Source organism: Homo sapiens, chromosome 12 (genome assembly GCF_000001405.40).
Source record: "Homo sapiens chromosome 12, GRCh38.p14 Primary Assembly".
NCBI lineage: Eukaryota > Metazoa > Chordata > Mammalia > Primates > Hominidae > Homo > Homo sapiens.
In genome coordinates, this window is record NC_000012.12 from 101,009,586 (window position 1) to 101,023,119 (window position 13,534).

At 39.9% G+C, this 13,534-nt stretch overlaps 1 protein-coding gene across 17 annotated transcripts in view, besides 1 other annotated feature; it reads left to right on the top strand.

Moving 5' to 3' along the window:
* The window catches only part of ANO4 (anoctamin 4), a 411,381-nt gene that overhangs the window by 292,325 nt on the left and 105,522 nt on the right, over window positions 1-13,534 (top strand). For all 17 annotated transcript variants that reach the window (XM_011537912.3, XM_011537911.3, XM_047428302.1 and 14 more), the window contains one exon: window positions 10,449-10,555. In XM_011537912.3, the coding sequence (XP_011536214.2) occupies window positions 10,449-10,555 (107 nt within the window). The remainder of the gene's footprint in view (window positions 1-10,448; window positions 10,556-13,534) is intronic.
* Window positions 8,441-9,640: an enhancer, noted in NCBI's record as "P300/CBP strongly-dependent group 1 enhancer chr12:101411804-101413003 (GRCh37/hg19 assembly coordinates)". NCBI's record gives its function as "activates an origin of replication core promoter dependent on BRD2, BRD4, P300/CBP, MED14 and CDK7 cofactors, with strong dependence on P300/CBP, by STARR-seq in HCT116 cells {active_cell/tissue: HCT116}" and the evidence as "EXISTENCE:reporter gene assay evidence [ECO:0000049][PMID:35650434]".

The following is a 13,534-nucleotide window of genomic DNA, read 5'->3' on the forward strand; positions in this document are numbered from 1 at the left end:
ACATTCCAATTCCTAATTCTCTGTGCGTAACCTTTCTCCTCTATGGAACCTTATATAATTGTCTCTTTGGCCTCAGTGTTCTATAATATCATAGGAATGTATCTTGATGTGGTTCTATGTTTACTTATATTACTGGATGCTCAGTGAACCCTTTCAACCTGTATAGTCTTGTCTTTCGGTTCAGAAAAATTTTCTTGAATAATTCTTGAATGTTTTAGCTGATTTATTCCTTTTTTGTCTTTCTGGAATTCCTATTTTTCAGTTATTGGACTTCCTGGGCTGATCCTCTAATGTCCTTATCTTCCTCTTTTTTTGATAATCTATATATTTTTGCTCTGGGAGAATTCTTCAAGTTATTTTCTGGACCTTCACCCCACTTCTTTAGGTCACTGTGTGCCCCAGTTCTAAGATTTTCTGGGATTTCGTAGTATAAATATTATTGTTCTTGGGTTTTCCCCAGAACTGGTTTAGCATTCAGTTTTTTCTGGTTTTCTAAGTCTATTATTACATAGATCTGTCTGCTTGGCACATTCCAACATTTTGATGCTGTTGTTTTGTGCTATCTTTGTTCTATGAGTGTTCTTACTGTTATTTAAACATACACACCCACTATGCATGTTACTATCATTTTCATGGGATTTTGAGAGAGACAGAAAAATTGTATGCAAATGTTTAATTTTCCATCTTTACTTGGAAGCTCAAGAGCAAATGTTTCTTAATTTGTATTTAACACTTAGATAACGAAGATGATATCATGAAGTACAATTAGAAATGGCCATTTGAATAAGGAAAATGACTCACAGTCCTTTACATTTCAGTAACCTGTCATCCTGATCTAAAAAAAGAAACTTTAAAATCTTTACCAAATAGTCAGAACTTTCAATGTTATATATTTGGCCTGACAATCTTCTCATCTTTTTGCTCATAAAATGTCTACTCAAGATTAGAAGTTAGATATTGTGCTGCAGTTGCCTAAGGCCCAGAAAACGCTCAAAATAGGCCTTGTCACATAAAAAATTAATTGGTTGCTTTGTTCCTACTTAGATTTTCATTAATTTGAGGACATAATATAAGTGACAGTTAACTGTATCACCTTTGCTTCTCCTTGTTAAAAAAGAAATACCTATTTAAAAGTCTAATTAAGAAAGTTTCCTGAAATATTTATTTTTAAGGCATTAACCTTCCCTTATTATATTATGGAATAACACAACTTTAAACATCAGAAAAGACTGGTATGTTGGTTATCTATTGCTACATAACAATCTACTACAAAATTTACTGACTTAAACATTTTATTTGCTTATTATTCTTTTGTTTTAGCAATTTGTGCTAGATTCAGCTGGGAAGTTCTTCCACTGCTTTCACCTGGAGTCAACATGTGGCTGCAGTTGTCCCTTTGCTCAATGAGCTGGACAGTCCAAAATGGTCTCTGTCATTCACATAGCTGGGGGATGCTGCCAGCTCTTGGCTGCATTTCTGTCTCCACATGGCTCATCTTCAAAGAGGCTCGTTTGGGCTTCTTTACCCTGGCAGCCTTGGGGCAGCATTCCAAGTGGGCAAGAATGGAAGCTGCAGAACCTATGCCAAAAAATCATGGAAATTACTTCTGCTGTATACTGTAGATTAAAGCCATTCACAAATCCAGCTCAGTCTACCTCTTGATAGAAGGAGCAAGAAATTCACATCCCAAAGGAGTGTATATACAGACATAGGAGGAATCATGGCCTTTTTTCTTTTTTTTTTTTTTTTTGCAATCTACCACAGACTGCTGTCTGGCTGAAACTTATTCACATTTTTTCCATATAGAAAATATTCTCATTCCCATTCCAGGATCTCCATGGGTCTCATCCCAATATTGCATCAGGTTCACAGTCTTAGATCTCATGCTCTGCATCAGGTGAGTTGAGGATGAAAACCCTTGGCTACAACTCCTCAGGTGTACACTCTTTGTGAGCCAGAGACCTGTGAATGAAAAAGACAAGTTACCTGCTCCCTACAATTCCAACACATGGTGATGGAACAGAGGCAGAATAATTACAATAGGTACTGCCATTCAACATGGGGAACAACAAGAAGACTGTAGCAGTCACTTGTTCACATTAATCTGAAACCCAGCTGGTCACATGCTTCAGGCTCCTTCACTCCAGGGTCAAAAAACCTACCTTGATTAGTTATCTGTTTCTGTTTCCTACTTTGCCACATGCCTTAAATTTTTAGATTCACAGAGGTCAATAATGTGACTATAATTCTAAAATAATTGTACAAAACCATCTGTAGGTAGTTAAGTGCTTCTTGACAAAGTTACCCCTTCCTCCTGAAGTTTTTAACCATGCAGATTTTCATACCTTTGAGAATACTTGTTTGTTTGACCCACCTCAGAAATTTCATAATATATGTAAAAAAAAAATGGAAAAACCATCTTCCTTGCCTTTACTTCCCCAAAAGTAGTACCACATACAAAGCATCATTATAAAATGATACTGATTTTGAGAATCTTCAAATTACAAAAAAAGTTAAAATTTATCTATAATATAACCTGACAGTTTCTGGAACACCCAGTGGTTCTCTATGGGAATCACATGATTTACTTATTTACTTGGGGCCTAGAGTAGAGCATGAGACAGACCAAGCCCTGCCCTCACAGAGCTTGCAGTCTGTAGGGGGAGAGGGGCAGACAACAAAAATGTAGACACATCCCCACCTCATCCCAGCTCTATTTTTAAAAATTTTAGGGAGTAAAACATAAGAGAATAAAACAGGGTAATGGAGGAGAGAGAATGAGTGACAGAGTGAGAGAGAGAGATTATTGGGGCAGGAGAGTGACTATCTTAGCTAGGATGATGAAGAGGTGACATTTAATTTGAGAACAAAATGTTGGGAAGAAACAAGTTGTGCAAGAATCTAAGAAAAGCATGATCAAAAGCCCTGGGCAGTAACAGTCTGGGTTTGTTTGTTCAGGGTCAGAAAACAAATTCAATGTTGCTTGTTTACAATGAGCAAAGGGAAGAAAGGAGATAAGGTCATTGGTATGGGCAGGAACCATGAAGGACTGTGTGGAAAGGTGAAGTCATTGAAGAGTTTTAACTGGAAAAGCATAAGATCTTATTCATTTTTTTTAAAAAATCATTGTGGTTGCTGTGTAGAGGATGGACAAAAGAGACAGTGAAATTAGATAGTACAGTTAGGAAGCTATTGTAGTAGTCCTAGAAACAACTTTGCAGTAGGAGGGTGAGAAAGGGTCAGATTCAGGATAATATTTGGGAAGAGGAGCCCAGAGACCTTGATGGATTGGATGTTGGGCATAAGAGAGAGGGTCAAGGATGCATCTCAAGTTTGTGACTTGTGAAATTGGGTGCACTTCAGTTCCTTTTTTTTCCACTTTTATTTTAGGTTCAAGGGTACATCTGGAGAAAAGGGAACTCTCATACACTGCTGGTGGGAATGTAAATTAGTTCAGCCATTGTATAAAACAGTTTGGTGATTTCTCCAAGCATTTAAAACATAACTACCATTTGACCCAGCAGTGCCCTTTTTTAAGATGGAAAAGCCTAGGGGAAGAACAGGTTTTTCCTTTATAAGGGTCCAGATCAAAAGTTCTGTTTTGGAAATATTTGGTTTGAGTTTTTTCTTAGACATCAAGCGAGATGTCAAACAGGCAGTTGAATGTGGGAGTTCAGTCATTTACCAGCAAGCCTTGATGACTTGCCTCATCAATACTTTATAGTCTCACTTTGTGACTATCTAACCCTATCCTTGGGCAACTAAGACATGGGGACCCTCATTTCCTGACAAGTAGAGACTCAATGAATTACCCAAGGACACACAACTAAAGTGGAAGAGCAGGGCTTGAACCAGGTCTTCTGGCAACCTACACATAGTCCTGTAGGGCACTGCTAACCCCTCCTCTACTCTCCTGCTTATTGTAATCAAGGGGAGATGCAGGGTTTTAAGATACCATTCTGGAGGCAGTGGGTGTGCCACATCCTCAAAGTGTCACCCATGACTTAGGCAATTGTTTATCCATGCTGTTCATATAGTATCCACCAGCCACATGTAGCTACTTAAATTTAATTTTTAATCAATTAAAATTAAACTAAGTTAAAATTCACTTTCTTAGTTTTACTAGTCACAGTTCAAGTGCTCAATAGTTACATGAGTACCATATTGGATAGCACAGATAAAGAACATTTTCATGATCTCAGAAATTTCTATTAAACAGTGCTGGAGTCTAGATTAATCTAATGTTCCCTTCAGTTATATTAATTTGTGAAGAAAGTGTAGTCTTATCCTAAAAGCTGTGATCTAAGAGGAAAGTTTAGGAAAAAAAGAAAGTTACCTGCTTTAAAATTAGCATATTTTATAATAAGCTGATTTTAGATCCAGCATTAATGAGCACCTTTCCCCAGCTCACACCCTTGAATATTTGTGTGTTTCTCATGTTATCTATGAAGGTGTAGGTTCCTCTGAGGAGAGAAACTAGGTTTTTTTCACCTTTGCATTCCCCTCTCAAAATATATAAATATACAACGCCCATGCCCATATATACACACCCTCAATACATATTGCTTTGCACAGAACAAACATAATATTTACTTGTTAAATGACCCAGCATATCACAGCATTTTACAACACTACTGTGGACAGTTGGCCACAGGAAGAACCTATCAATCAGAGCAAATAAACTCCAGGAGGTCTGTAACTAAAACCCGATTGCGCAGCGTATTTATTTCTCATTTCTCCCTTCCTAGCAAAAGGAATATTGGGACCTCAATCTTCCACCACCCCGGGTGAAAACGAGGTTGCTCACTACCCTAGAAAGCATAAAGGTCGAGCCTAGAGGAGAGTCAGTGGGAAGTTCAGGCCCTGGTCTGCCCATTACTTCATGAGCAGGCCAGCAAGGTCTTCCTCATGGGGTGTGATGGAGATATGCAGAAAGCCCTTCACACACATGCACACAGGCAGACCTGGGCCCCTCACAGTTCCCTTCACAAACGCAGGAGAAAATTTGGAGCAAAACAGATGTTTTCTGAATTCCTCCTTGCCACTTGCTGTTTGTGTGACTTTGGGCAAATTACATTAGCCCGTCAAAGTAGCAGGATAAGGAGATGTGTGGATATAGGCCTTGATCACAGAGTTGATGCTACACCCATTCAGCAGTTTATTCCCCTCTTCACCGAATTTCAGGGGGAATGTGAGAGCAAACCTAGAACAGAAATGTGCTTTCCTTTTAAGTTTTCTTTTTAAAAATATTTTCAAATGTTTTTTAAGAGGCAGAATCTCACTCTATCACCCAGACTGGAGTGTTGTGTTCATAGCTCACTATACCCTCTAACTCCTGGGCCTAAGGGATTGCCCTGCCTCAGCCTCCTGAGTAGCTGGGACTATAGGTTCACACCACCACACCCAGCTAATTTTTTTTTTTGTAGAGATGGGGTCTCACTATGTTGCCCTGGTCTTGAACTTCTGGCTTCAAGCGGTCCTCCTGCATTTGCCTCCCAAAGTGCTGGGATTGCAGGCATCAGCTACTGCACCCAGCCAAAAATTGCAGTTTTTTAAAAAATGTGTAATAGTACTTACACATGGTAAAAATTTCCTAAGTATGTACAATGAAGTTTTCCTCCTGTCTATCCAGCCACCCAGTTCTCCCCAGAGGCAACCAATGTTTTCCGAGGTGTATGTGTCCTCCCATAGTCATTCTGTGCATGCACAAGCAAATATGCCTATCAACATATTCATATGCATGTACTTCCTAATATGTGCACATTTTCCTCTGACACAAATAGCTGTGTGACTGTTTTGAACCTTTTCTCCTTGTCCTGTCTTGGAGATTTTTTTAGATCTACACCAAGGGCCCTTAATCTATTTACAGGTGCAGAATATTCCACTGTAGAGTTGTACCATAATTTTCTTATCCTATCCCCCACTGATTAATAATTTAGGTTATTTCCAGGCTTTTGCTATTATAACCCATGCCATAATGAACATTGTTGTACATCTGTCACTTTGCACACGGGTAAGTATATTTGTAGAATACATTTCTAAAAAAAGAAATCCCTAGATTAGATGGTATGTAGTGAAGATATATGCGTAGTTTTGATAGACCTGACCAAATGGCCCTTAAAGAGTTTGTATGTTTGCTCTCCCCCTAGCAGTGCATGGGAGTGGATATGAGTTTACAAGCCAATGTGAAGCCCTGGTCAGAGACTGAGCCCCAAGCCTCATGTTTGCCAGAGTTGCTTAGCTTACATTGTGTGCATGAGGGGATGGGGGATATGTGTGTGTATGAGAGAGAGAGAGAGACTTCATTTGGAGAAAGCTGTGGCTAACTGTGAGAACCATGATATGGGGAATCATCACTGTTCCTTCTCATAATCCTCCAGTTTGAAAGAATGACCCAGAAAATGAAAGTGTTCCACACCCCGCAGGAAGATCCTTAGACATGCAGTGTGGAGGCAGTAGTTCAGCTGATAGCTAGAAGAGATGGCAAGAGCAAGAGCAGAGGCCAAGGTATAAGGAGATGAGATTTAGTTTCATAGCCCCTGTGTTAGGTTATTTGCATTGCTATAAAGGAATACCTGAGACTGGGTAGCTTATAAAGAAACGAGGTCTATTTTGGCCACAGTTATATAAACCTGTACAGGAAGCATGGCACCAGAATCTGCTCCTGGTGAGGACTTAGGAAGCTTCCAATTGTGGTGGAAGGTGAAGAGAGAGCAAGCATGTCAGATGGCAAGAGTGGGAGCAAGGGCAAGGTGGGGCAGGGGGAAGTGGGGAGCCACACTCTTTTAAACAACCAGCTCTTACATAAACTACCAGAGTGAGAACTCACTCATTACCATGGGCGTAACACCAAGACATTCATGAGAGATCCACCCCCATGAACCAAACACCTCCCACCAGACCCCACCTCTAACACTGGGGATTCCATTTCAAAATTAGATTTAGAGGGGACAAACATCCAAACTATATCAGCCACCAACATTAGCTAGTGTTCTTCAGATGGTCAGCTCATTTGATCCAACTTTAAGTGTTTATCATGTGCTAAGCCCTTTACCTGTGCTGGAAATACAGAGATGAGCATGGCCGGTTTCTGCCCTCAAGAAGCTCACCCAAGGAAGTGGGCCATGTGGGCGGACAGCTTTCATGGAATGTAATAGAAACTACAGCAATGATGACAGCTAACTCTGAGAACATCTTCAATGCCAGCCAGTGGGCTCAGCACTGCGTGTCATCTCACTTAATTGTACAATAGCCCTGTGAAGGTGATTACAGTGTTATCCCCATTTCACAGATGAGGAAACCAAGACCCAGAAAAGTTGAGGGATAGCCCTAAAACCACATCATAGGTGGCACTACTGGAGTATATGCTGAGGTCTGTCTGACTGCAGAGTATTGAGATAAATCAGAGTGTTCAGCATACTCAGAGCTAAAAGTCGCTCCTCCTCCTCCATCAGTGGTTCTTTGCTTCCTTCTCTCTTTATAGCATCACATTAGTTGTTCTCACGCTGCTAATAAAGACACACCCAAGACTGGGTAATTTATAAAGGAAAGGAGGTTTAATGGACTCACAGTTCCAAATGGCTGAGGAGGCCTTGCAATCATGGTGGAAGATGAAGGAGGAGCAAAGGCACATCTTACGTGTTGGCAGGCAGGAGAGATCATGTGCAGGGGAACTGCCCTGTATAACACCATCAGATCTCATGAGACTTACTCACTATCACAAGAACAGCACTGGAAAAACTCACCCCCATGATTCGATTACCTCCCACCAGGTCCCTCCCATGACACATGGGGATTATGGGAACTATGATTCAAGAAGAGTGTGGGGACACAGCTAAACCATATCAAGCACCACACTGCATTTCAGAGTGAGGGCATGGAAGTCAAGCCAGGGCCTCTGGGGAAGATATGGCCTGAGCTGAGATTTGGAAACAAATGAATAAAAACCTGGAAACAAGAGCAATCTGGACAGAGGAACTCTCAGCTGACCTCCAGGAGACTCAGCCTCCAGGCCTCAGGAAGTAGCTGGCAGACAGAGGCAAGCGAGCAAACAGAGTCACCACAGGGGTAGCCTTTGGAGCCAGACTGCCTGAGTTCAAATGCTGGTTCAGCCCTTTTTTAGCTCAGTGACGTTGGGTGCATCACTTAACCTCTCTGATTCTTCACCTGTAAAATGTGGCTAATAAGTACTACTTCCCTTATGGGTTGAAATAGGGATTGAATAAGTTCATGTATTGAGACTGTTTAGAATAGTGTCTGGCACATGCCCTGTGTGTGTATTCCTCTACAGAACCTCCAGGCTCCAGGTACAGCCTAGATGTAAGGAAAAGAAAAACAAAAATTTGAAGCTTGTCTGTGGTGCTTATTATAGAGAACATTTACATGTGCTCAGAAAATGTAATGTGATGCTATAAAAAGGGAAGGAAGCAGAAAACCATTTAATGGAGGAGGGACATGGGCTTTTGGCCTTCAATTTTCTTGTCAAGCATAGTTGTGCTTCTCAGCTTTCAGTTATCATCTAGAATTGTGAGGCAAAATGTGCTTTTTATTTATTGTCTATTTCTTTATGACATCTTTACTTGGTGTTAAAATATAATGGCCTGTCTCAAATCAGGTGAAAAAGCAGAGGAAGATAAAATACAAAGAAACACATTCAGTGAGACTCTCGGTTTTCTCCTCTTCCTCTTTGATGCTGTAAAATGTTTTCAGAGATAAATGTCAGATAAATGCTGCAGCATCCTCATTTACCCACACAGCGTTTATCGCTCATCCACCAACTCAAATTACCTTTCTCCAAGAGCGGTATTCAGTAAGAGAATCCAAGAGAAGTAAAAGTGAGAGAAAAATACTTCGGTAAATCAGTTCTCATGATTTACTTTTTGTCTCCATATTCCCTGGCCTTTCTTTCCTTTATCTGTTATCCCAAAGTCACATTTCCAGCCCTGTTTCCAAACCAAACCCCATGCTTGGACTACTCTTTCTCGAGGCCAATTTTTTCTCTTCCTCTCATTATTTGAACAACTCCTGAGAATTCATTTCCTTGAAGAAAAACATTTAGCAAATTCCACATCATAAATTACCATGACCCTCACATACCTGTGTACCAGCCACTCACCGGATCCCTGGGCTACAGAAGTGATGATTCAGCCCTTTGTCCTGAATGAGCTCATGGTCTTACATGGAAGGAAAGGCATGCAGAAGGAGGTTGACCTTGCCTTTCTCTGGCATACACTCACATTCATTTCCTTGATGCTCTTGCTTCCCCACTATACTGTAAGCTTCTCAAGGACAAGGATTTTATCTGTTTTGTTTACCACTGTATAATTTGTACCTTAAAAGAGTATCCTCAGTAAACATTTGACGAACAAATGAAAAAAAAATGACAATATGGAATGATCAGTAAATTGATGTGCTTGCAAAATAAGAAATAGCACAAAGGAAGGAGTAACTGAATGCTTTGGGGGACAGAAGTGTAGTTGGAGGGGTGGGGAGACTTGCTGGAGGAGGTGACTTCTGAGCTGAGTGTTGGGGAAAATGCCTACATTTATATGCCTTTGCATGATGTCCAGCTTATAGGAGGTGCCCAAGGAAAGTTTGCAGGGTTGATAAACTTTATAATTTATGAAGGAGTTACATATACAGTATCTCTAATATTCTACCATTTTTTGCATTCGTAAAAAGGGGAAACATGGCCATTTCATGCTGGATTATGTAAACCTGGAAGCTCTATCTGCTACCTAGAAAACCTCTTAGTAGGGTACAAGCACCTACTGGAAAGCCGTGTGTGTGTGTGTGCGCACACACACATACACACACATACCTGCACATGCACCCTTGACAAAGTAGAGACTGGCTAGGGCACTTGCTGGGAGGCAAATCAATCTTAAGTGTGTGCTTTAGAAGAAAGATCCTATTCACGAAAGAACATGGAAAAGGTAAGGACAGAGGTGATTTCCAGAGACTGGCCTCTCACCTCACCTGTGAGCCAGACCACAGCTCATTACCTAACTCCTATATCCACCACCCAAGCCAGTTTTATATCTTAAAATTTCTGAAAATCCATTGATTATGCCATGGGAGAGCCTGAGGTAGGAGAGAAGAGGAGAGAAAAACAAAATGAATTTTTAGTTGAATTAATATAATGAGCTTACTGAGAAAAAACAAGATACAAGACCTAGACTTGCTATTAGTTTATTTTTAGGTTTCTTAACTTTGTTTAGCTCCAGCTCCTTCCTAGCATGAACGATGTTGATGCTGAAAACCAAAACTACTCATACCTATGAGCCTACTATCCTGGTGTGATCTCTGGCTCCCTCAGGCTGTTCCAGACACACCCTGTCTATGACTGACTGAAGACATCTGCATCTGAGCAACACCAAATTATAACAAAAATTAGATCCTTCACCTCCGATTAATTCTCAACTTGTATTTTTAATATATGTATGCAGCTTCATCATACACAACAAAGAAACGTTCTTCAACAATGCCACAAGAAGTAGAATCGTGCATCACATTTTACAAAGAATAAAATATGAAGAAGGAAAAAACAAGATTGGTAAGTAGTATGTTAGTATAACAAACTACATTTGGCATTTGGGAATTACAGACTTCTTCCCTTGGTTTTATTAAGTTTGTATCAATTCTAGCAATGCTTGTCACTTATAAAACCCCTAACTAATCCTTTGATGAATAATTCACAAGTGTAAAATCTTCGTCGCATCCTTAAATATCTTCTTTAAATAGCATGTTGTCTCATTTGTCTAAGATCATGGAGAAATTCTCTCATTTTAGAAAATGTTGTGTGCCAGGCACTGAACTAGATGTTGGGGAGATATGCATAGTTCTGATCTGGAGCTTGTGTTCAAGAAATTAAAAGCAGACAATAAACCAATAAGTAAATACAATAACATGAAGAAATTAAACTGGATGATGATACAGAGATAGGCTGGTAAAAGGTGGGAGTGAGTTCAAGCTGAGATTTGATGATGAGGGCAAGCTTCACTGAGAAGCTGAAATTTGAACTGAGACCTGAATGCTGGGGAACCAGTGTGGGAAGATCGAGGGGTAGGGTGTTCCCATGCAGAGGGAGCTGTAAGCACGGAGATGAGCTGTCCCACAAAAGCAACTTCTCCAGTCATCTCCTCCATTAAATAGCCTCTACCATATATATTTTAGGCATTTTTATGAGAATGTGTCCATATTATATTACACATTTCCTGCCTTATTAAACAGATTATTATATATCAGGAAGGGTTGGGTGGCTTTGTTCTTATCTCTTTTTCCAGCAAGTTTTTTATCAATAGTTTTAATAATGACCTATATCAGTCAGGGTCTAATCAGGAGACAAAGGCACAAGTAAATTGAACAGAGAAAGTTTTATATAAATAATTAACTGTGACAGGGGATTGGAGTAATGGAGGGTTGGCTAGTCAAGGGTAAGAATAACTCTAAAGAATACAGGAATAGCAGATGTTAGGAGCAGCTACCACCTCTGAGAAGACTCCTCGCTACAATGCTAAGCTGCAGATCCTGCTGGAAGAGGTACAGCCATGGCAGTGCAGTTTGCTGGGGGCTCTAGAAATCTGCCCTCTGGAGTACTGGGGGAAGCTGCCTCGAGTGGCTCCAAGGAAGTCATTCTTTGGGAGTTGCTACATCAGCAGCACTACTCTGTGAAGCCCCCCAAGGGGATACTGAAAATCTGCCTTTGAGGAGTACCATGTGTTTCCAGCCACCACGCACTGCAGGAGCTGGGTACTGTAGAAGTATGTGCTACAGAAGCCTGCTGAGATATCATACTGGTATCAGGAAGAGAAACCCCTTCCTCCTCCAGTGTCCCTCCCAGTGTCTTCTGCTGGCAAAGCTTAACATTGAATCAGCTGACAAAGGAGAAATAGTTACAATAGTTACATTATTGCAAAGCAGGCAATGAAGGTGCATTTGGAGCTGAGGGGAAATAAGTTAATATCTGGTGCATAGCCCAGATGACCTGCTCATCAAGCTTTCGGGTAGGGTGAAACTAGAAGGTTGCATTAAATGACAAGACTCAGTAGCTGGCACTCAGCCAAATCCAGCAAGATGACATTTAATAATTTTGCGTTGACCATTTCTAATGTGTATTTTCTTTTCCTTTCAGTCTTTTAAAAAATATTTACTAATTCAGTGAAAATGTTATTTAAACATACATTTGGTTATTAATGAGATTTGAGATTTTTCAAATGCTTATTTTATTCATTTACATTTGTTCGAATAGAAAAGGAAGTACATAAAATTTTACATTAATATCACTGTAAAAAATTAAAAAAATAATTTTTAAGGTAAAGTCTTACAGTCAAATTCAGCAAAACAACTACCTTGGTACAGTGTGGGAGAAATGTTGCTCAACATCATAAGAGGAACAGATTTGAGAGTTGAGCTGAATGCAAGCTTGGTGTGAGTCACTAGCATAATGACTCTGCCAAAAAAAAAAAAAAAAAAACACCTACTTTGATCCCAAGCTGCATAAATTAAAATATAACATGGAGAAATAGATAGCTTTCTAGTCCAGATCTGATTACAACTGGAATATTATGTTTTGTGAGAGTCAATGTATGGGGGTATGGTGAAGTCAAACCTGATTTAGGTCTTTCTTAACTTTGATGGATTTTAGTTAAACACATTCCCATTTCTCTGCATTAGTCATCCTTCCTTGAAACACATTCCTTCAATAAAGTCCTCTGTGACCATTCCAGCTTGAATGAATTCTTCTCTCTTCTGAATTCCTATGGCAACTATTTTTGGAGTCTATTTGATAGTTAGTCATATACAACTCTTCTTTTGTTGTCTTGAACTACATTCAATAACATTATGAAAATCTACCACATAAAGAGAACCACTCATAACATTTGCGTACTGAATAATTTAAATGTTACCTTAGTTACTTTTATATCTTAATTTCTTATTCATTCATATGGTTTTTAGAAACAAACTTAGGATGTGCTATGCATCCTTTTTACGAACTTTTTTCAGTTAACATTGTACCATAAACATACTAGAAAGCAAGTGAGTGAAAGTGAAGTTATTATTGCAGTAGCTGTTCTGAATCACTTCATAAAATGCAAATAACTCCAAATGGCATCTTCACTAATAATGGTATTATCATTTGCAGTACAACTTATGACTCTTTTTTTTTTGTTGAGACGGAGTCTCGGACTGTCACCCAGGCTGGAGTGCAATGGCAAGATCTCAGCTCACTGCAATCTCTGCCTCCCAGGTTCAAGTGATTCTCCTGCCTCAGCCTCCTGAGTAACTGGGATTACAGGTGCCCGCCACCATGCCCGGCTAATTTTTTGTATTTTTAGTGGAGACGGGGTTTCACTATGTTGGCCAGGCTGATCTCAAACTCCTGATCTTGTGATCCGCCTGCCTCGGCCTCTCAAAACGACTCTTTATGAGACACTAGTGTATTAAGAATCTGCAGCTGAATGCTGCTCATCTGGATAATAAGATCCTTAACTGTAAATAAACTGCCTTATTTATCTTTATATCATCACTGCCT